The 24,151-nt window shown below is 46.0% G+C and overlaps 1 protein-coding gene across 4 annotated transcripts in view, besides 2 other annotated features; it reads left to right on the top strand.

Annotated features, from left to right (window-relative positions):
- The window catches only part of GNB5 (G protein subunit beta 5), a 76,293-nt gene that overhangs the window by 30,770 nt on the left and 21,372 nt on the right, over positions 1-24,151 (top strand). For all 4 annotated transcript variants that reach the window (NM_016194.4, NM_006578.4, NM_001379343.1 and 1 more), the window contains 4 exons: positions 6,547-6,683; positions 10,698-10,739; positions 13,088-13,164; positions 19,351-19,483. In NM_016194.4, coding sequence (NP_057278.2) covers positions 6,547-6,683; positions 10,698-10,739; positions 13,088-13,164; positions 19,351-19,483 — 389 coding nt within the window. The remainder of the gene's footprint in view (positions 1-6,546; positions 6,684-10,697; positions 10,740-13,087; positions 13,165-19,350; positions 19,484-24,151) is intronic.
- Positions 16,833-17,002: an enhancer, noted in NCBI's record as "experimental_39709 CRE fragment used in MPRA reporter constructs". NCBI's record gives its function as "activates a minimal promoter by MPRAs in K562 erythroleukemia cells, with activity observed for the introgressed 15:52435903 variant allele {active_cell/tissue: K562}" and the evidence as "EXISTENCE:reporter gene assay evidence [ECO:0000049][PMID:34662402]".
- Positions 20,659-20,758: an enhancer, noted in NCBI's record as "active region_9423". NCBI's record gives its function as "activates an Ori minimal core promoter by ATAC-STARR-seq in GM12878 lymphoblastoid cells {active_cell/tissue: GM12878}" and the evidence as "EXISTENCE:reporter gene assay evidence [ECO:0000049][PMID:35858748]".

The raw sequence follows: 24,151 nt of genomic DNA, 5'->3' as shown, positions 1-24,151 counted from the left end.
TTTATGATTATTTTTAATGAATATGCATTTACTTCTATAATTCTATAAAAGGCAATCAAGACAAAACCATCTCTCCATTCACAACCCCTCTTTTCATTCACCCCTTCTCTGCTATTCTAAACATGATCTCTAGTTTTCATGGCTCCTCCATTTCAAAAGCCCCGTTGCTCTCCGGGTCATGTTGTTTCCAGTCTTCTAGTTCGCAGCTCCTAGTACACCAACTCTAGATTTGCCACTCCTGGCCTGCCAGCTGCCTGTTAGGCACTTTAATTTGCCTTCTCAGTTGAACCTCACAACACTCCCATGGATTGGGTCATTGTCTGCCATTTTCCTAAAAAACAGCGACTAAAGTAGACATTAAGAAGCTAATTTCCTGGCCAGGCGCAGTGGCTCATGCCTGTAATCCCAACACTTTGGGAGGCAGAGGCGGGTGGATCTCCTGAGGTCAGGAGTTCGAGACCGGCCTGGCCAACATGGTGCAACCCCATCTCTACTAAAAATACAAAAATTAGCCAGGTGTGGTGGCATGGGCCTGGAATTCCAGCTACTCAGGAGGCTGAGACAGGAGAATCGCTTGAACCCAGGAGGCAGAGGTTACAGTGAGCCAAGATCACACCATTGCACTCCAGCCTAGGCAACAGAGTGAGACTCCATCTCAAAAAAAAAAAAAAGAAGCTAATTTCCCACCTACCCTTTTCCACCCCAACTCCTATGCATCCTTCAAACCAGGCTTCAGTGACATCACCTCTAATGACCACGCCTGCCAGCGGAGTCAACCCTGTTCCCCTCTGGCTCCCTGACCCTGGGTGACAGCCTCTGTCAGCCACCATCGCACTGCACTGTAGTTGTTACCTGGGTGCTGACCTGTCTGCCCCCTCCAGACTGTGAGCTCAGTAAGAGCAGAGACTGTCTTACTCTTTTCTGTACCCAAGCATCTGGCACAGCTCTTGGCACATAGTAGAGATTCTGGAACCATCATTCAAGCAGCAAACATTCACTGGCCTACACTTCCTCTTGAGTTCCAGCCATGACTTTGATTCTGATTCCTTGGTCTGGACTGGCATCCAGAATATTCAGCATCTCAAGCTTCAGAGGACCCAACTGAGCAGGGAGGCCACAGAGGCAAGCGTCCTCTCCCTGGACATGGGAAGGAGAACATCCAGGGACAGGGAGCAGTTTCTAGGCTGTTCCAGTCTGACCTTGGAGGGACCACAAAGAAGCGTGGTGCGGCAGATGGTGTGTCCGCTGGAGAGGGGGCTGCCAAAGAAGAGGAGTCTCTTCCCTGGTTTCCCTCCTCCAGTGTTGTCTCCATCGACGCTGTCCTCCAACGCTGCAGCCACAGATAGTCATGAGAAGGCAGATCCGACCATGCCACTCTTCTGATGACAGCAGGCTGCTGTCACGGTGGGATAAATGAGCTCTGTCATGGGTGTACAGCGCCATTACTTGCCTGCACCTACCCCTTACTCTGCAATCAGGTTGTTTATTCCACCCCTAAAAAATATTGATGTAAAAATTTTACATCAGTATTATTGTTGGGCCTTTGCTTTTGCCATTTCCTCAGCTTAGCGTACCCACCTAGGACCTCCTCTCATCTGACTCACCTTTTTATCCTTTCGACTGAGCTCAGATACCACCCCAAAAGACCCAGTGCAGTGCCCCACCCTCTGGGACAGAAGCTTCTTGTGTCCACACATCTAGCTTAGCAAGTCCCACGTTGTATGGAAATCATCATTATGGCTCCATCTCTTCCCTTGACTCTGAACTACAGTGAGGTCAGGGACTGACTCTCATATACCTGGATGGTCCCAGAGGCTGGCACAGACTGAACTGGAATGAACTAGGAAAGAGTTTGAGCTGTATCTGAATGGCGTAAGGGTTTGTGCGTGGTAAAGACCAAATCCAAGTTGCTCAGGGAACAGGATAGGGCCAGGAGGGGGAAAAGAAAAAAAAGGAACTTTAAAAAAAAAAAAAGGTTGGTGAGCTCCTTGGATCAGAAAGTAGGTCTGAAACCCTGTGTGTGCCTCCCACTCCCAGTGCTAGTGAGCGTGCCCTGTTAAATTGGTGAGTTGCTTGACAGCTGAAGTAGGGATGATGGATTAGGGATAGGGAGAGGTACAGAAAAAGAAGGCAAAGAGGCATTGTTTTGTTCGCCCACCAAAGACTGCTGCTTAGGATTGCTACCGTTGATTGAAGTTTAATCAATACTAAGCATTTCATTTATTCCTTCAGTAAATATTACTGGGTACTCACTGTACGCCATGCTGGAGAATGTCATAGCCAACCCTTATGAAGTGTTCCCTTTATGCCAGGCTTGAATAGTTGTCCCCGCAACCCCACAGGGGAAGAGAGGTGGCGAGAAAGTACATGATTTGCTCGAGGTTGTGCAGCTGGTGTGCGACAGAGCCAGGCTTTGACCCAAGCCCCCAAATCCAGAGCCTGGATTTTTAACTGCTTTGCTCCAGTTTTGCCTCTGAAGAAGATCAAACAAGACAGCACTCCTGTCTTCCTAGAGCTAGTGGAATTTCTTAACAGGTTACCATTATATTCTAGCAAATTCTTATTATAGAAACCAGCTGGTTATATTCACCATTAAAAAAAAAAATTAAATCCTGGAGGAATGGTCCTCCAGAAGGCAAAGGGGAAACTACATGTGTCCTGAACCAAGTTCACACAAATAATACCCAGCACATATTCAGCTCATTTCCAGGTCTTTTTTTTTTTAACTTCCTAATGTTTAATTTTTAAAATTTGTTTTAATTCAGTGGATGCAAAATTTGGCAGATAGAAACAGGATGGAGTGGGTTGGCAGTGATCTACATGTGGGAAGAAAAAATGTAGTGAGAAAAAATAATTAATAGTTGGGATCTATTCAAATTCACATTATGTAAGGAGGGCCCTATTTTGGTTGGGTGAATCATCTTTTTTATTAAAAGGGAAATTATCAAAAAGCTATGGCTATCCTAATGCTGAATTGGGGGAAGCAGCAATAATATTGATGTAAAATTTCTAAGTAAAATACTAAATACAATATGCTCACAACTCTGGGCCGATAGAGCCTTATATAAAAGGCCTATATGGCTGGGCGCGGTGGCTCACTCCTGTAATCCCAGCACTTTGGGAGGTGGAGGTGGGTTGATCACGAGGTCAGATGATCGAGACCATCCTGGCCAACATGGTGAAACCTGTCTTTACTAAAAATACAAAAATTAGCTGGGCATGGTTGTACATGCCTGTAATCCCAACTACTCTGGAGGCTGAGGCAGGAGAATCACTTGAACCCGGGAGGTAGAGGTTGCAGTGAGCCAAGATGGCACCACTGCACTCCAGCCTGGGTGACAGAGTGAGACTCCGACTCAAAAAAAAAAAAAAGGCCTATAAGAATCAGGCCGGGTGCCGTGGCTCACGCCTGTAATCCCAGCACTTTGGGAGGCCGAGGCTGGCGGATCACAAGGTCAGAAGATTGAGACCATCCTGGTCTAACTTGGTGAAACCCCATCTCTACTAAAAATACAAAAAATTAGCCAGGAGTGGTGGCGGGCGCCTGTAGTCCTAGCTACTTGGGAGGCTGAGGCAGGAGAATGGCGTGAACCCGGGAGGCAGAGCTTGCAGTGAGCCGAGATCCCGCCACTGCACTCCAGCCTGGGCGACCGAGCGAGACTCCGTCTCAAAAAAAAAAAAAAAAGAATTTGGAAAATTCAATCTATTTTTAAACTTCATTCGATGTATTTTGTAAAGAACGTATTTGTAAAAGACGAATATGCTGTTTGTGGCAGTAAATAATGCAATGTTTTAGCAGAAGCAATGGCATAATAATTGAACATTCATGTAGCACTTTAGAGTTTAGCAAGGTTTTTGTTTTGTTTGTTTGTATTTTTAGACAAGATCTAGCTCTGTCACCCAGGCTGGAGTGCAGTGGCGCAATCTCAGCTCACTGCGACCTCTGCCCACTGCGACCTTTGCCCCCGGGCTCAAGCAGTTCTCCCACCTCGGCCTCCCAAGTAACTGGGACCACAGATATGTGCCACCACATCCAGCCAAGTTTTTGTATTTTTGGTAGAGACGGTTTCACCATGTTGCCCAGGCTGATCTCAGACTCCTGAGCTCAAGCAGTCCACCTACCTTGGCCTCCCAAAGTGCTGGGATTACAGGCGTGAGCCACTGTGCCTGGCCTAGTTTAGCAAGTATTTTTACAGTTTGAGTTTTCACAAAGACTTTTAGCCCATGTGCAACTTTGCTCTTTTATCACAAGGAAATGAGGCAACTAAAAGGAACTTTTAGTTCCATGGAGAAACAGCTGATTTTAGAGCAAGGACAGGGAAGGAACAACGGAAGCTTGGAATGAGAAGTGCTCAGACTATGAGGGGGACATGTCAGAAGGTCATGGGAACCTGCTTGACGGGGCTCCCCATCACCTGGGACAATTTGAAGATCAAAGTCAATAGTATTAGTAATGGATTACAACCTCTTGAATAAAGTAAGAACCCATGAGTCTCTACTAATGTAAATGAATGAATAAATAAATAACTGGGAGAGGAGGCAGAACTCCTCCTTAGAAAGCTGACTAATGAATGCAGAGGGAAGGATGGAGTGAGAAAGATCACCACTTGCCAGCCATCATCACAATCACTCATTCAGGCCAGAATCATTAGTGGAATTAAAATAAGGCCGTTGAGGTTTGAGGGGTAACATGTTTACATAGCCTCAGAGTACCTCCCTAACAAGACACTTTTCATTACAAAAGATAAAATGGTAACTCTCCAGTGGAGAGACCTGGCAGGTGTCCCCTTAACCAGATGATCCCCGGTGACCCCACCAGCAGTGGGACTCATGTGCCCAGGTGGGATGCAGTGACATTAACTCAGCACCCCATCTCTGTGTCCCTGCCAAATGTGTTTTACCCAAGCTAATCTCAAGGAAGCATTAAACCACATTACAAGAAGCAGCCACATAACTGGAGGCTAAATATAACTGGAGGCTAAATATAACTGGAGGCTAAACATGCAACTGAATGCAATCTATGATCGTGGATTTTCTTTTGCTATGAAGGTTATTATTTGGACAATAGGCAGTATCTCAATAAGTCTGTAGATTAGTGTTGTTTCAGCATTAATTTTCTAATTTTGATGATTACACTTTGGTTATTTAAGAGAGTTCATTGTTTTTAGGACATACACACTGAAGCATTTTGGGGAGGGAAGGATGGGAGGAAGGATTTCCCAGGAAGGGACGCTGCTGTCATAGGACTCAGACCACAGAGTTGGCACCTCTCGGCACAGGCTTCCATTTGAAGGGAAATGGGCCACGGCCCCGTCAAGCCTCAGCAGCTCCCTGGGAAGACATGAGGGGCAGCTGCCTTGCCTCTTCCCACCCTGTTCCTCTGTCTGTTTGCGTAGGCTGTTTCCCCCTGAAAATGCCCTCTTCCCTCCTCACCTACCTGGAGAAAGGCCAGCTGGGAGGTTTCAAGGAAGGAGATGTAGATGGACAGTTCAGAGCCCTGGCTTCTCCTTCTCACATAGCTACCAACAAGAGAGGGAAGTGGAGAGTGGCCATGGGATCCCTGCAGACCTTGGCGTCCTCCCCTGCATGATGAAGGGCCTGGACCAGCTGGTCTTTGTGGCTTTCCAGCCACTTCCTACAAACTTGTCCCTCTCAGACTCATCAGTCTCAGCTTCTCTGCAAGCCCCTAGAAAGCCTGCCCTTGGCCTCAGGAAAGAAGCTGTGGTCCCAGCCCTGAGAGATTGACTTTTGGATCTCCTTTCTGGTGTAGGTGGTGCTGTGAGTGGATCATATATTCAGACTTTTAGGACATTGCATTGATTTCTGTGGACACTAGGTTTTTCAGTAAACTCACAGGTGTGCAGTTTGCAGACAGCTTGCTTGGCAGTTTGCTGGTTCATTCTTTCCTGCGCCATGTGTATGAGGAACCTGCCATGTCCAGGCCAGTGCTAGGCACACAGGGTCAGCTAGACACGGCAAGCTCTAGAGCTGCAGGGTGTACCTTATAGTCCTGTTGGAACAGTTTTGTAAAGTCAGTTTTCGTTGTGATGAGAGAGTGGTAGGCAGGAGAACTAGAAGCCCCAGCCTGGTTCACTGTTGATTGTATGAACTTGTCTTAACCAGATAACCTCTCTGAGTCTCAGTTTCCCCATCTGCTAAATGGGCATAGCGGTCTCACTCTCCTGCCCATCCTGCCCTCCTCTTAGAGCTGTGGCCCTTAAAGGGAATAATTTTATGTAGTGCTTTATGAATATGAGGTGGTCTTGTTGTTAATCCCTCAACATGCATAGATAAAACTGCTTTGAAAAATGTAGGGTCTTAAACACAAAGAGAGAATGGCAGTATTGTCTCTACCCTCTACTGATCTTAAAAGAAGGAGTGCTGCTAGGATGCAATGGTAAGGAATCAGAGAATCAAGCTGTGGCTTGTTATGGAGGAAGCCCATGGGGCCGCCTCCCTCTGCGGAACATATGTCTGTGCTGTGTCAGCCCAAAGCCCAGAACCTGGTCCTTAGCAAGGGGACTGACTATGGCCTTGTCATTCCAGTGCACCAGGTGGCGGAGCGGGTGGAGGCCCTGGGGCAGTTTGTCATGAAGACCAGAAGGACCCTCAAAGGCCACGGGAACAAAGTCCTGTGCATGGACTGGTGCAAAGATAAGAGGAGGATCGTGAGCTCGTCACAGGTATGTCACACCTGCTGCATAACAGGTGAGCGGGTTTTGGATTTTATAGCTAAGGGGGAGGAGAGCTGTCCCTTTCCAAAAGCCCTTTTCTGATCTTTGTGACTTTGCTCATTCTCCAAAGGATGTGATTTAGCATAAAGAACTCTCTTACATATTATAGAACTTCATAATTTGGGTAGATTTAAAGTTGGTAATAGTTGAAACAGTAGACTATATGTAACCAATATGATGAACCATTGAAAATAATTTCAAAGTCTTATTTGTAAATGAAACCAGTTTTTAAATAGTTTCTTTTTTTTCCAAATTGAGGGCGTAAGATTCTGTCAATGACTTTCTTTCAATTTAAGGAGCTTAGCAATTCTTATGTCATAAAGAACAATGTTAAGATACAGATCTTGTAAAATACAATTTTAAAAATCATATCATTTACAGTTTATTTTATATATTATTTATTAGTTATCTATTCCTCCAAAAAATTACCCCCAAATTTAGCAGCTTAATTATCTCGCATGGTTTCTGAGAGTCAGGCATCTGGGAGTGGCTCCATTGGGTGGTTCGGGCTCAGGTGGTTTGTGAGGTTGTGTGAAGATGTTGGTCGGGGCTGTGGTTGCCGACAGCTGGACTAAGGTGGAGACTCACTTCCAGGGTGCCCTGTTCACGTGGCTCTTGGCTGGAGGCCTCAGTTCCTCACCATTGGACCTGCTCACAACATGGTAGCTGGCCTCTCCCAGAGCGAGTGATCCACAAGAAGGGGCAGAGGCAGGGCCATGCCATATTTCATGACCTGGCCTCAGAGGTGACAGTCCATTGCTCCTGTTGTATTCTGTTGGTCACACAGAACAACCCTGATACACAGAGGAAAGAGACTATAGAAAAGTGTGACTATCAAGAGGCTGGAATGATTTGGGACTCACTTGGAGTCTGGCTCCCACAGCTTAGTACTTTTGATGTCTATTTTTATGTAACATGTATTGAACATAAAGCTATAAACTGAAGTCACATGACATATTCTACAGGCTGGTTATAGTGGCTCATGCCTATAATCCTAGCACTTTGGGAGGCCAAGGCAGGAGGATCACTTGAATCCAGGAGTTCGAGACCAAATGGTGAGACCTCGTCTTTATAAAAATAGAAATACAGAATCAGCTGGGCATGGTGGTGCGTGCCTGTAGTGCCAGCTACTTGGGACGCTGAGGTGGGAGTATCGTTTGGGTGTAGGAGGTCAAGGCTGCAGTGAGCTGAGATTATGCCATTGCACTCCAGCCTGGGCAACACAGTGAGACCCTGTCTCAAAAAAAAAAAAAGAGAGATATTCAGCCAGGCATGGTGGCTCACGCCTGTAATCCCAGCACTTTGGGAGGCCGAGGCGGATGGATCACCTGAGGTCAGGAGTTCAAGACTAACCTGGCCAACATGGTGAAACCTCGTGTCTACTAAAAAATACAAAAATTAGCTGGGCATGGTGGTGGGAGCCTGTAATCCCAGCTACTCGGAAGGCTGAGGCAGGAGAATCGCTTGAACCTAGGAGGCGGAGGTTGCAGTGAGCTGAGACCATGCCACTGCACTCCAGCCTAGGCAACAGGGCGAGACTGTTTTTTTTTCTCCAAAAAAAAAAAGATATTATATAAATCCTATTTTTATGATCAGCATAGGTTTCTCCCAACCCCTGCCTTGTGCTCAGTTTTTCCAAAAGCAGGTTGGTTTGCTTTTTTTTATAACCCTTGTGAAACTGGATATACTCTAGATAATCCACAAACTGTAACGTCTGTGTCAGTTTTGCGTTTGATAGGACAAATGTTATTACTCTCCTAGATTACCTACAAATCTAGTATGTCACATTGCACTTGCTTTTTTTTTAAGATCAAAATAAATTTATCACTTATGTATTCTACCACATTAAAGAAACAAACAAATAAAAACCTTTTACTCCCACCATCCTGTCACAACCATTATTATTTTTTTCTTTTTCTTTTTTCTTTTCTTGAGATGGGGTCTCACTCTGTTACCCAGGCTGGAGTGCAGCTCACTTCAGCCTTGACTTCCTGGGCTCGAGTGATCCTCCTGCCTCAGCCTCTGAAAGCACTGAGATTATAGATGTGAGCCACCTTGCCCTGCCCATTATTATTATTTTAGAGCACTTCTTTCTAGTCTTTTTCAAGAGCTTATTCTTATAAGGTGCTTATCAGGATATCCATGTCGCTCTCTAGCCTTTTGACTTCTTAAATCCAGACAAGGTAGGCTTTGTGTTGGGTTTTCTGTCACTCACATACTGCTGTTGGGAGGGAGGACCTTCAGCAGGGCTGGGCACACACTGTCCATCCCTCTCTGCTCCAGAGCAGGAAGAGGTGGATGTGGGTGTGGGGAGGAGGCTGGAAAGCAGGAAGCCTCTGGAACAGACTTGGACTCATCAACAGCCTTCCTGCTTAGATGCAGGAGAGTAGTCACCCCAGCCATGTGGGATTAAGGCTTGGGGATAGAGGCACATTCTCTCTGGGTACGTAGGCCCCTGCACATAAATCTGTGCTCACCGAGGAGACCACACTTAGTTTAATGAGACGCCAGAGCACACAGTGGGTGGCACACACAGGGACTCCAGAGCACACATGGGGGACAGGCAGGCAGTGAGGTGGAAGAAGCCCCTAACGTGGTCGCTGATGTGGGCAATGCTAGGAACCAGTCCCCAGCCATCAGGGGCTCCAGGTGTGGAGGACCCCACGATACAGGTGTGTGGCCCCACTCCAGTTTCTGCGCTAAAGGCTTACTGAATCCACCCCACACACTGTGTGTGGCCATTTAGGCAGAATTAGACCAGAAGAACCAATGTGCTTTGGAATCTCAGAAGGCCCCCAAACCACCAAATTTGACCTTGCTTCAGGGTCCATCTGCCATGCATGGCATTAACACAGAAATGTTCCGTCAGCTCATGCAAAGCAAGCAGCTATGTCACTGCAGATCCGATCTTGCTTCTGCCCTTAAGTGATGTTTTCCATCCATATCTCTGCCACCTCATTCACCAAAGTTTGGCCCCAGATGGCTTGAGTGATTAAAAAATTGAGCCTGCCATAGAGGCTGTAGATTTCCGATCCCTGAGGATCTGATCCTCTTCCACTGCCTGCCCAGCAACCTGCATGCCATGGTCTGGGCAGAGGACTGCTTTGCAGGGACCAGGGCTCACATGGATTTACCTCTAATGGGTTTTCATTACAAATAGATGATGCTGTAGTCACAACCCACACCCATGGGAGGCCACAGCTGGGTTACAGTGAAAGTGGCAGCATTCTCTGTGGCAGGGCCAGCTCTGCGTTCACCCTGGCAGGGAGTGCTGTTTGCTTACTGATTGGCTGCCCACAGGGGTTCCCACCACGATGGGTGCATATCGCATGTTGTTCTCAGTGTAGGTGTGAAATGTCAGAGCTGGAGCTGTGACATCTGTGAGCACCTGGAGGAATTAGACTGATCTCAGGCCCATACAGCCCCCTCCGCAGCTGTCCCTGGCAGAGAAATGGACAGAGAATGGGGAGGGGGGTTCCTGGATGGTGCCGCAGGGACCATGGACTCCAAAGCAAATCGGGGAAAGGACAAAGCAGTGGAGATGTTGTGGGAGAAAAAGATTTATTATTTACCTGTCAGGTGCCTAAAGGTAATGTCAGCTTTATCTTTCCCCTGTATAATTTGTTGACATTTAGGGTATGGCAGGTGACGATAGTGTACCAACAATTTGTGCGTGGTTTGCAAATGGTATGAAAGAAGTGTCTGCGTGTTGTTTCCTGTAGTTGTATCTTTCCAAGGAATGTAAGGTTGAGAACTGATCCTTTGGCTCTGCTGGAACATCCAGCCCCTCCTGCACTCACCCCACTTTTTTTCATGGATAGATTAGGGGGTCTTGATTATCCAGATCCTCATTCTGGCTTTCTACTTCACACTGCCCTGCTGGACACAGCTTTTATGAGGAATTCTCAGCAGTAATCTGTAAGAACTTGACAACCCCTAAACTGTTTGCTCTTCTCCCTCCAGGATGGGAAGGTGATCGTGTGGGATTCCTTCACCACAAACAAGGTGAGGCATTGTTCCCAGCCACGTTATAGAGGCTTCAGAATCCCAGCCTACTTAAAGGTGCTCTGGTCCAGCTGCCCGGCCCTGTCCTGATTTCTCTCCATGTATCCCTGCAAGCAGTTGCCTCTACGGATGGAAACCCCAAGAAGGCCTATCCGTGTTTGAACAGCTCAGCCAGCCCATTGCAGCATTTATTCCCCTCTCGCCCCAAGAGGACAATTAGAGCCACCATAGGGGCTGCCAATACCAACATGGAAATGGGCAAAGCATGGAAAACTTGCAACCACATGTGCAACTGCATGTACTATTTGTCTTCTGAGTGATAAGAGGCACCAAAATTCTCCATTCTCTCTCCCCTCTCTTTGACCAGACTCCATAGCCCTGTGGGAATGAACACGTGGAGGGTGGGGAAGATGAGGCTGCAGTGGGACTGGGCAGAGCTACCCTGTGATGCAGTCTGATCCCCTTGCAAGTCTGGCTTGGGCATGCACAGCTCAACTTAGATTTAAATTTTAGCTCTTAATGAAAATAAGACCAAAACCTATGTGCAGGTATGCTGGAACACCTGCATTGCATTGGCATTTACAATAAAGAGTATTGTGTATTAAATAAGAATTCCTATATTTATTTAGAAAGCCTTCCTTTATGCTATGAAAAACATGAGACCTGTCTCTGTCTCATAGTGAACAGCAGCCATATTCTGCATTGTTGAATGTGTTTAGTCAGTGTCATGGGAAGCAGCCGGTACATGACCTGGTCAAGTGAGGGGCCGAAACCATTTTGTAGAGTCGAGTCCCTAATGGTCAGTCCCCTGAGGAATAAAAATGACAGCAATCTGCACAGGGCTTTGCTATACAGCGCCTAGCTCCTTGGAAGCCTTCATCTCTCTCAGCACCTTCTGGACTATGCAGGGGTGTAGTTGCTTCTGTTTCCACCTTATCCTGGCATAGAGCACAGACTGATTTCTGGGGAGCCGAGGGTGCCACTTGTGGCCCGTGGCAGGGAATATAGCCATTACTTGTGAGGAAAGGGGCCTGGGATACCCTGTGCTGAGAGTGGCTACCTCAGCTCGTTCTCTGGAGAGCAGTAGATTATTCTTGGCCTCTGAAAGCCTACCAGGCTGCTATCGACAATAGTATTTGGGCAGACAGTATTGGGGCCTGTGTTTCCCCACAAAAACACATGTAATTATAACAGAAAAGAAGACCAGCACTTGAATGTACATTGGAAGCATTAAGAACTAAGTGCGCCCATCCCTGGCTGCTGGCTGGCTGAGTCACCCCTATCCTCCTGCATGCAGATATGCAAACAACAGAGCCATGTTTCCAACACATCTGAGCCTGAGGTTTTATTCCCATGGGAGACGTGGACCCTGGTCCTGGTTCTACCACCACCAAGATGTGCAACCGCACACAGGCCAGCCATGTGTGCCACGGTGGTTCTCATTCTTCCTCTGTGAAGCCAGAAGCCAGGGACTGTTGTGCTTAGTTCTTAATGTTTCCATTTTACCAGTTCTCATTATCCGTGAGCACAACCCAAGATCACCCTCCCCTCCCCTGACCCATTCATACCTTCCCTGGGATGGTTTAGGGCTCATAGTGGACACAGGCTCTTGCAGATTCACAAGTAAACAGACTTAAAATACAAATATAAAAAGTCATTCCAGAGTATATTTTGAAAATGGAAATCAGAGTAAATAAGGAAAAGTATATATCTGAAAGGAGATTTGGGCATACCTTCCAAAGAAAAGGGGCCCTGATAGGCAGAGGAACAAAGGGAGTATGACATTAAGGAGGAAGTAAAACATGAAAGGTTTTTTTTTTTTTGCTTTTGCTAGTTGAGCTTTTTAACTTTTCGAATATGTGACATCAAGTTGATTATAAGAGTCCCCTCATAAGTCTTGAGCCCATCTTTACCCCGTACCACTTCCTTTTGAAACTATAATGTAATTCAGTAGGCATCTGGTGATTTTATTTTCTAAAATTTAAACATTAAGATTTTTGTGGCTGGGCATGGGGGCTCACACCCGTAATCCCAGCACTTTGGGAGGCCACGGTGAGCAGATCACTTGAAGTCAGGAGTTCGAGACCAGCCTGGCCAACATGGCGAAACCCCATCTTTACTAAAAATACAAAAATTAGCCTGGCATGGTGGCGCATGCCTGTAATCCCAGTTAGGAAGCTGAGATAGGAGAATTGCTTGAACCCCGGAGGCAGATGTTGGAGTGAGCTGAGATTGTGCCACTGCACTCCAGCCTGGGCAACAGAGTGAGACTCCATCTCAAAAAAAAAGAAAAAAAAAAAAGATTTTTGTGTGGAAGTGCTAGTTGTTCACTCTGTGCTGTGTTTCAGGAGCACGCGGTCACCATGCCCTGCACGTGGGTGATGGCATGTGCTTATGCCCCATCGGGATGTGCCATTGCTTGTGGGTAAGTTGGAGCTACAGCAGCTTTTCAGAATTTGTGTTAACCATAGAATACTGTTCTCTTGGCAAAAACAAACAAACAAGAACTCACAGTTTTTGTTGTTTAATTGTTTAGCAGTATGCTAAATCCTTCCCTGAACTTGATCAAAGAAGAAACCATAAGCCAGCACAGTGGTGCCTGCTTGTAATCCCAGCCACCTGGGAGGCTGAGGTGGGAGGATCACTTGAGCCCAGGAGTTCAAGTCCACCCTGGCAACATAGCAAGACCCCATCTCTTTAAAAAAAAAAAAAAAAAACAAAACCATAAAACTCTCTTTCATAATTATTTTCATTACAAACTGACAGTAGTTACATTTCAAACCTATCTCCTGCTCTCTCAAATGCTTTTGGCAGAACCATAAACGTTGCAAACATTTTGGAAAGCAACTTGGTAATGTCTGTCAGAAGCCTTGAAAAATGGATAGCCTTTGATCTGGTGACTCCACATCCAGGAACTCATTTGAAAGGAATGATCCAAAACATAGAAAAGCCATATGGACAATGACATTAATTGTAGTATTTTTAAAAATGAAGCAAAAAGTACCAGGCGTGGTGACTCTTGCCTGTAATCCCAGTACTTTGGGAGGCAGAGGCAGGAGGATCACTTGAGCCCAGGAGTTCGAGACCAGCTTGGGCAATGTGATAATAATACCTTGTCTCTACAGAAAAAAAAAAAAAAAAAAAAAATCTAATTAGCTGGGTGTGGTGGTATACAACTGTAGACCCAGCTATTCTGGAAGCTGAGGTGGGAGGACTGCTTGAGCCTGGGAGATTAAGGCTACAGTAAGCTGTGATCATGCCACTGCAGTCCAGCCTGGGTGAGAGTAAGACCCTGTCTCAAAAATAAAATAAAGCAGAAAAGGAAAGGAAAAAGGAACCAACATACCCATCCAAGAAAACTTAAGTGAATTGTGGTACACGAATTGAATGGAATATCATACAGCCATTAAAAAGGAAAATTCTCAATTACACTGTGTGAAAAGGGCATCAAGATTACTAGGAAGAGTGTGCCTTATTCCCTATTCTCCTGGAGCTCAGTTTAACAGGGTTAACAATGAGAACTGAAACCGACATAATTCCCAGTCCCTGTGTTGAACAACTCTGAGACCATTCAAAATATTTCTGCCACAGTATCTCAGCCATGTTTTTAAAAAGAGGCATATTAGGCCGGGCAAGTGGTGGCTCACGCCTGTAATCCCAGCACTTTGGGAGGCTGAGACTGGCAGATCACGAGGTCAGGAGATCGAGACCATTCTGGCTAACATGGTGAAACCCCGTCTCTACTAAAAATAAAAAAAAATTAGCCGGGCACGGTGGCGGGTGCCTGTAGTCCCAGCTACTCGGGAGGCTGAGGCAGGAGAATGGCGTGAACCCAGGAGGCGGAGCTTGCAGTGAGCCAAGATCGCGCCACTGCACTCCAGCCTGGGGGAGAGAGCGAGACTCCATCTCAAAAAAAAAAAAAAAAAAAAAGTCATATTATAAAGGCTGGGAGGAACTATACCAAATAAAATAGTAGTTCTTTCTGGATGATGGGACTATGGGGATTTTTCTTCTTATAATCAGGAAGAAAGAATTTTATTTTAAAGAGGAAAAGCCCGAGTCCCCAGGCAAATGCTTTGGAGCCCTCTCCAGCCAGTCACACCAACCATCTTCTCCAGTGTCCCTTCCCTTAGGGTGGCTGCTTTGGGGACATAGTCTCACTCTCCTTCCAGTGGCCAAGACCACTTGTCCCTTTGGAGCCCATGTTCACATACATGTATTTCACTCTTTTTATTTTTTGAGATGGAGTCTGGCTCTGTCACCCAGGCTGGAGTGCAGTGGCATGATCTCGGCTCTCTGCAACCTCCGCTCCCTGGGTTCAAGCAATTCTTCTGCCTCAGCCTCCCAAGTAGCTGGGACTACAGGCGTGCACCACCACGTCTGGCTAATTTTTGTATTTTTTTTTTTGCAGAGATGGGGTTTTACCATGTTGGCCAGGGTGGTCTCGAACTCCTGACATCAAGTGATCTGCCTGCCTCAGCCTCCCAAAGTGTTGAGATTGCAGGTGTGAGCCACTGCACCCGGCCCATATTTTTTAATTTTTAAAATAGCTCAAAAGTGGATTGTGTCTCCACTTTATAGATGGATGCCAGTATTTATATAAAATTTATTACCATCTACTTCCTAAAAGGATAAGAGGTGCTATAATAAAAGATATATATGTAAATATATATATATTTGTACTACATGTGTAACACATCTATTAGAGAAAGCAAGCAAGAGAGAAATAGGCCACAATTATAAGGTTGGTGCAAAGGAGTTTAGCCAACTCCAGTTAGAAGGCACAGTTCCAAGACTGCCCCTTGCTTCAGATACTGGCTGCAAATTTGAGGGTCCCCACAACCCCAGGAATTCACTAAAACAACTCGCCAAACTCATGAAAGTGCTGTACTTACTACCACAGTTTTATTACAGTGTAAGGGTACAAATTAGAACCAACCAAAGGAGGAGACCCCTGGGGCAGAAGCCAGGAGGCATCCAGACATGGAGCTGCGAGTCATCGTCTCCCTGGTGTGGTCACTGACGGCGTTGTTTCCTCTTGGCCACGGTGTATGGTAATACATGCAGAGTATTGCCAGCTGGGGAAGCTCCTCTGAGCCTTAGGTGTCCAGAGGTTTTATTGGGGGCTTGACCACACACTGCCTGTGTGGTTTACCTTTATAAAGTCTTCAGTCTCTAGAAGTTCGGGCAGATACCTTTAGTCTCAAGTTCCTCTGGAGATCAGACCTGATATGATGCATCCAAAAGCCCCCATCATAAATCACATTATTAAACTGGTGGCCAGAGCCCCCAAGCAAACCAAGCCACTCTTACCAGGCAGGACATTCCAGGGGCCCAGAGATCACTTCCAAGTAGCTGAGGGCAAAAGCCAGACCTCTGCTGCAGTGTCAGTTCTTCACTACTCAGTAGGAATCGTAAGTTCTCCACATTTTTTTATATCCTAGGGTAATATGTTTCTAGTTGGACATGAATTTTAGCAGATGCATAGAGCTGGATGTGTTACATAATCTGTCAATATCCAATATTGAAATATTAGATATGCAGTTCTAAATTACAGAAAGAATATATTGGGTAGGCCCTTCTGCAATGTGTAGTGAATATGATAACAGTGAACAATGTCTTCAACAGTAGTTTAGGAAATGATGCTGTGGCTGTTTCTTAATTTTACCCTCACTAAATGGAATGCAGCGGAAGAATTCCCATGGGGGTAGCGGGACGGAAGGAAGAGAGCAGCCTTACCAGGCCCGGATAGATAGCTTTCTGGTGACTCAGCGTGGTGCAGAACAGAATTCAGAGTGGAGGGATGGCTGGCGCCCTGATCTTTGTCATCTCTGTTTCCCCACCCTGGCATGTGGGAGGTGCTAGCACCTTTCCTGGCTGCCTCACTGGCTGTTACGAGGGCCAAACAGAGGAAGTTCAAGGCATGAACATTTGTGAAGGCATTTTTCAAAATGTGGCGGTCTAGTGGATGAGAGAGCGTCAAAGACGAAACTAATACTGACTCCTTATCGCAGGTAAAAGTACCATCTCCCCTTCCCAGACCTTTCCCAAAACTGCTAAGAGCAGCTGTGATTCATTTGAGTTTCTAGTGGTAAGTCTGACATAATGTTTCCCAACCATGACTGTGTGACATCCCTGTGACTCTGTTATCTGTAATAGACCCACACCGATGCCACATTCTCTAAAAGTCATTGTAGGTAATAATGGGGATATTTTTTATCTCAATTTACCTGGCTCCTGGGTCTCCCTCTCAGTTGTTTCCAAACTTGAAAGCTAAAACCCAAATGGTATTGCCACAATCCCCTTTCCCCCAAAAATGTGTCAATTGGTTATATATACAAGTATTTCTTATTTAGGAGCCATATCCCCAAGAAGCTTTCATTCAGGTATTGTACACTTACTATGATCTCATGTGTGCAAGGCACTGGGCCAGGTGTCATACTGGAATTCAAAGATGAATACGTAACCAAGATCACAACATTAGTTAGGTACTAAAGCAGAGATTCGACACTGGATGCATCACCCTGCAAAACCTTCCTGCTTCTCATAGCAATGCGAATAACCCTAAGTAATAAGTATCTCAACAGAGAAATTACTCAGGATGGGGAGGATGTATCCCAGCTCAGGGGTCAGGGAGGACCATAGTCCACAGCATGCTTGTCCCCTTACCATAGCCTAAGTGCAAATCATTCTCTACACATTCTGTTTTTTTTTTTTCTCTTTTTTTTAGTCAAAGAATCTCACTCTGTTGCCCAGGCTGGAGTGCGGTGGTGTGGTCTCAACTCACTGCAACCTCCACCTCCCAGGTTCAAGCAATTCTCCTGCCTCAGCCTCCCAAGTAGCTGGGATTACAGGCACCTGCCACCTTGCCCAGCTAATTTTTGTATTTTTAGTAGAGATGGGGTTTCTCCATGTTGGCCAGGCTGGTCTTGAACTCCTGACCTCAGGTGATTGGCCTGCCTGGGCCTCCCAAAGTGCTAGGATTACAGATGTGAGCCACCGTGCCCAGCCTCCTCCGCACATTGTATAAACAAGTTTGCCAAAGCTAATTACTGATAAGAAACTACCCAAGAATACACCTGTGTACCTCCCAAGCAGCTGGAAAAGCAGAAGGGACCCTTGGCTTTCCCAGTGCCTCAGAAAAAAGTGACCCCATTTTAAATATTGTTCCCTACAAAAAGAAAGCAGGGCACCTTAGGGTAAGGCTGAGGTTAGGTCTTTGGGAGGAAAAGAATAAAGTGAGGCTAGGATATTTTCTTGTTCTAGAAAGTAAAGGAACGTTCAAGGACCAATAGGGGTCATACATATATTAAAAAAAAAAACACAGCTGGCTTGAAGAGGCCCCAAATTTGGGGTAATTTGAGCATCAAATGTAGTAATGATAATAATGGATCATGATACAATTAAGAAAAAAAAACAAATTTATGGGTGTACAGTGATACTGGGAAGGAGGATTTTTCATTACAGAAAAACACCAGCTAATAAATACGGAAGACATTATCAAAATAAATCACCCTTTTGCACCCCTAAAGTAATATCTGATTCAAGCAAGGATAATCATGTAAAGCCTTTGTATGAAAGGTGGTTGGAGAAAATGATATTTTTATGGTCTCAAAATATCACACCACAGATTATTACTGATTACAAACAAATTACCTTTACCCTGGAGATATCTAGTGGTCCACCTTAACCAAGTAATCAAAGTTGGCTTTACCAATCTTGGAAGAGACATTACAAGCCTTGTGACATGAAGCAATAAGAAAGAAGTACACAGTAGCACCTTGATACTCTTATTGGCAAAATGTTCTACAGTACTTTAACCATTAAGAAACCATCTGACAAATCCACCATATGCGACATTCTATAAACAGCCAATCTAAGATTTCCTGTCATGAACAACAAACAGTAGGTAGTGTCTGTTCTAGGTTAAAAGATCTTAAAAAGACATAACAAATGAATGCAATATGTGAGCCTTGGTTGGTCCCTGGATCCTGGCGACAATCAGGGAAGATTGAATATGGCTGGCTTATTAAATGGTGTTATGGAGGTTTTGTTGATTTTCTCAAATGTGATAAGGATGTGGTAGATAGACAGGAGAATGTTCTTATTTTTAGGAGATGTAAATTTGCAAGTGGAAGTGTTTAGAAGGAAAATGTCATATCTGCAGTTTGCAGTCAAATGGTTCAGAATTTGCTCCTGTAGATATGACAAAATGTTAAGTCTGTGAATCTAAGGGAAGGGATCTGGGTGTTCAGTATACTATTTTTTTTTTCAGTTTTACAGTAGGTTTGAAAATCTTCAAACTGGCCAGGCACAGTGGCTTACACCTGTAATCCTAGCACTTTGGGAGGCCAAAGGAGGATTGCTTGAGGCCACGAGTTCGAGGCCAAGAGTTCAAGACCAACCTGGCCAACAGAGCAAGACCCTGTCTCTATTTAAAAAAAAAAAAAGAAAGAAAGAAAAGAAAATCTTCAAAGTAAAAGTTGGAGGAAAGGGTACAATATATGATACTGCTAAAGAGAATATGTTGAAAAGTTCATGTGATTGGAAAAGTAGACACATATTCTGTGACTCTGCATTAATCTTTGGTACTTCTTTCTTTCCATCCTAGTGGTTTGGATAATAAGTGTTCTGTGTACCCCTTGACGTTTGACAAAAATGAAAACATGGCTGCCAAAAAGAAGTCTGTTGCTATGCACACCAACTACCTGTCGGCCTGCAGCTTCACCAACTCTGACATGCAGGTAAATAGGCAGCCCCCGGTGTCAGGTTGACCTGCCAAGGAGCACTAAAGAGGAGCTGAGAGGAGAGGAAGCTTTCGGCGTCTCTCTGAACAAGATGGCTGTGCTCCAGTAGTTTGCTCTAAGAGGAAGCTCCTATTGTTTCTCATTAGTTATTATTATTTTAATAACATGAGAAGGTTGGGGCTAGTGATTGTTGGTAGTGTTGAGATAAAACTGCATGGCATATTGAAAATCCTCCTCTGATTGACTTGGCGAGGGTGGGAGTGGAGCAGGGAACCCCCTGGGGTGCAGGCAGTTACTGTGCCCTGGTCTGCGTGCTAACGTGTGTAAAGCTTCACTGAGCTGTCGGGCTTCAGAGCTGTGCACTGCATGCATCTCACTTTACAGTCCTGTTTTAACCAATGCAAAAAGAAAATGCTTCACCATATTAAATCTTTGCTCTACTTTAAATACACTACAGTGAAAACAACACAACCTTTATCACTTTAAGTTTTCTTTAGCAAGTGGTGAAAGCACCGCATCGTTTATTTATTCACACTTATTCAGCAAACCTTCTCAGTACCTACTACCCATATTGCCAGATACCACGTGGCTCTGGGGCCAAAAGCTCAGTCTTGGCCCTCAGGGACCTTCATGAAAACCAATAATGGTTGGACAGTGGGGGAACTGGGGAGCTCCGAGCAGGAGGGGTTGGTCACAGACTTGCTGCTGCCAGTGAAGAGGGACCGCTGCCACTCCAGGCGGCCACAGAGTGTGAGGGAGCACAGTGGGAGGCAGGCAGCCGAGAGGTGGGTGGGGCCAGATCCCAGGGCTCCCTGAGTGCCTGGGCTGGACCCTGTAGGTGACGGGAGCCCTTGCAGGGGTGAGTCAGATTTTGGTTTGTTTAAAAGAGAAAAGTGTCTGAGTTAGATTAAAGCCTTCCATAGTTTACTCTGGCTTCAGTGAATTGATGTCAGGAGGGATGGGGAGGTTAGAGGCAGGGAGGTCAGGTGGCTGGGTAATTGTTCAATTGCTGACTGGAGGGATGTTGGGACTTGCAGTGTCACCATTGTGCCCCTGTTGTTTACACCTATTATTTGAGCCTAACCAGGAATCTTGCAGACTTGTTCACCAGGGGGCGCTGTGGCCACTGACTGGTGCAGTGGCCAAAATGAGATGTCTTTGGGCCTGAGGCAAACCAAAGCAACAGAGGACATTTAGGCTGGATGAAGGCAGGCTCAGGGGGCTACCACGACCATCAGGCATCTGAAGCCCCTCTGTGGAGACCCATCAGACTCGCTCTGTGTTGCCCCGGGGCAGGGTTGGGGATGAAAGGGGGCACCAGTAGGTGAGAAAGTGCTTTCTTTTCCAACAAGCAGCTTAGCCGGAGATAAAGGGAAGTCACAGCTGGCTACCTCGGCGGGGACGCGGCCTGGGAGGCAGGGTAGGTCAAGGGTGGCTCTGGAGGCAGACAGCAGGATTGGATCTTGGCTCCGCTGTGTTCTAGCTGGTGATCCTAGACAGCGTTTGAATTTCTGCGTGCTTCATTTTTCTCACCTGCACATGAGGATAGTAAAGTAGTAAATCTGTCCTGCATAAGGTTTTCTGAGGCTTAAATTAGATGATTCATGTACATAGTGTAGTCCCTGGTAAATATCAGTAAGCGTTAACTCTTATTATTTGTTTGTTTGTTTGTTTGTTTTTTGAGACAGGGTCTCACTCTAGTACCCAGGCTGGAGTACAGTGGCACAGTCTGGGCTCACTGAAGCCTCCACCACCCAGGCTCAAGTGATTCTCCTGCCTCAGCCTCCCAAGTAGCTGGTAGGCCTGTAGTGGGTCTGCAAGCACACGCCACCATGCCTGGCTAATTTTTGTATTTTTTGTAGTGATGGGGTCTTGGTGTGTTGCCCTGGCTGATCTTGAACTCCAGAGCTCAAGCAATCCACTTGCCTTTGCCTCCCAAAGTGCTGGGATTATAGGCGTGAGCCACTGCACCCAGCCAATTTTATTATTATTAACACAAAGCTTCATGGATGATGCTGATACATGGCCTAGTTTGGGTACTACTGAACTCATGAACCTCCAGCTTTCTTCAATCCCTGGGATCTAGGTTGATAAAAGAGAAACTCAAGCGGCTGGTATGAGACTATGGTATTAAACTTACAAATTCTCTGCATTCCAGAACAAATGAGTGACAATGAGTTAGGGGTTCTGTTTAATGCATTTATATGAATAAATGTTTGGTCTTTAAACTTTATTTTTACTTATATTATAATGAAGATCAGAAACACAAAATTGAAAAGTATTAGAAATCTACTTTTAACTTTTAAAAACTATTCATTTCTTTGATCAAACAGTATGGTATGAAAATTTCCTAAATTAAAGAGCAAGACTGGGGTAGTTGCTTAAAGAAAATTGTTTGGACCTGGTGTCTCAAAATAAACTGTAAGTTACTGCAAGTGTTATTAGGAAAGCAGTGAGTTGGAACAGCCACTAGTGGGTGTGGGCCAGGAGAGATTGAGGGAATTTGAGCATCCAACAAAATATGAGTACCCAAATTTCAGCCTCGGTTCAGGTTTTGTGTGTCCATAAGCTACTTTGCTAGCTTAAGTCATCTTGTTGGATGTATGCAGGCCTCCTGAGGGAAGTCAAGGCTGGAGGGGGTCCTGTGGACAGCCAGTGGGTGCAACACCAGGGCGGGAGCAGATTCCCCTCCTTGTAATTTGTTCCTTCCCTGCAAAAAAAGAAAAAAAAATGAGTTTTTTTTTTTTTTTTTTTGAGACCAAGTCTCACTCTGTTGCCCAGGCTGGAGTACAGTGGCGTGATCTCAGCTCACTGCAACCTCCGCCTCCCAGGTTCAAGCGATTCTAGTGCCTCAGCCTTCCAAGTAGCTGGGACAACAGGCGTGAGCCACTACAACTGGCTAATTTTTGTATTTTTAGTAGAGTTGGAGTTTTACCATGTTGGCCAGGCTGGTCTTGAACTCCTGACCTTGGGTGATCCGCCCACCTCAGCCTCCCAAAGTGCTGGGAAAAAAATGAGATTCTTTATGTTCAAGGCCTAACATATAAGAGAGAGGGGAAGAAAAAGGGAAAGGGGGCAAAGGGTGAGGAGGAGAGATCCCATCAGCAGCTGGAAATTGAAGGTGTGGTGTGGTCAGTGGTTGCATTGCATGCTAGCGGTGCATAAGGCCTGATTCCTCTTTTCTTTCCTCAGCCATCAGTAATCATCCGCAAAGGGCTCTCTTGTGGACACTTATGCTGCAAGAGCCACTTCCTCCACGGTCTTATCACCTCACCCAGGCCCTGTGGAGCAGCCAGAAGGCAGGGAGAGCTTCTCCCTTGCAGGTCCCCTCCATTGCTGTCAGTACCCAGCTGGCTCCAGGGCTCTGTGATGCCGCCAGCTGGGCCTATGAGGGCCCCGAACCCTGAGTCCTCACTGCCTTTCTCCCAATCCCAGGAAGGTATGCTCAGCCAGAGCCCAGGCCTCATACACACTGGCAGTGACAAAAAGTAAAATTCCAGCCCTGTCCCCATGTCTTTCCCTGGGCACCCCTGTGTGCCTTTACTCTATGGCTGACCTTTGTACTTGTAAGCTATCCAGAGGCTCTTTGGGCCTCTGCCAGAGTTTCCTAAAACATACGTTTGCTTTTCTCATTCTCCTGCCCAGAAGCTTCCAGAGTGCTCTCTTGGCTTCAGACTGAGTCCCCACCTGTGAACGGGCTCACCTTTCATTTAGTGCAGACATAGGCCCCCCTGGAGTTTGTCTCTCCCCTTCCCTTCTTTCACCTGGCCAGCTCTCACTCTTCCTTGAAGACCAACTCAGATATCACCACACTGGGTTTGGGACCCTCCTGTGTGCACACCTGGATCCCAGCACTTCTCATGCTGTTGTCATTGATCCTTGTCTACTGGTGATGTCAACTCCCCAAGCGAACATCAGAAATACTTGCAACCAAGCAAAGCTAAGGTTATCTGACCTGCCACAGTAAGGGAGAACCTCCACTTGGCAGAATCTTAGTAGGTTCTGAAAATGGAGGAATTAGGGAAGGGTACTTAGAGGATTTCAGGGTCCAGGCTTGGTGATTTTAAGGTGGGTCTTGCAAGGCCGTTTTAGCTTTGGATTGGTGAGCCCAGCAAGCGAACAGTCTTTGAGTCTGGATGAGCAAGCTGTTAATCTTGGTAAGTTGTCTAATCGATTCACAGTCTTTTCTCCCAGGAGCAGGTATTTTCTGCAGCAAGCAGTTAAGTTATTTTTACTTGGTCTCAATATGGTTTAACATAGTAACAGGAAAGTTGGCCTGGTCCCAGAATTGTTTAACACAGGGATGGGGAATTATGTTGGTTTCATTCTTACTGGCAATCCTATTAAACTGAGTTCTGGGAGAACAGAAACTGAGACACAATCTTTCTGCAAACCCTCATGCATTAGCAGAGTGCCTGGCAGACACTGTCAGCACACAGCAGATGTTTCTTGAACCTGTGTATGCGTGAATATCCTCTGGCACCCGTCAGTGGTCCTGGGAAGCCTCTGGGCAGCACTGTGCTCGGGAAAAGCAGCAACAGAGAATGTCCAACAAGATGCTGCCTAGACCCCTGCTGCTCCCAGTGTGCCCCGTGACCAGCCTCAGCATTCCCTGGGAGCCTGTGAGAAGTGTAGACGCTCAGGCCCCACCCCAGACTCTATTAG

Source organism: Homo sapiens, chromosome 15 (genome assembly GCF_000001405.40).
Source record: "Homo sapiens chromosome 15, GRCh38.p14 Primary Assembly".
NCBI lineage: Eukaryota > Metazoa > Chordata > Mammalia > Primates > Hominidae > Homo > Homo sapiens.
The sequence above is the reverse complement of the archived record's forward strand: the minus strand, read 5'-3'. Positions and strand labels throughout refer to the sequence as shown.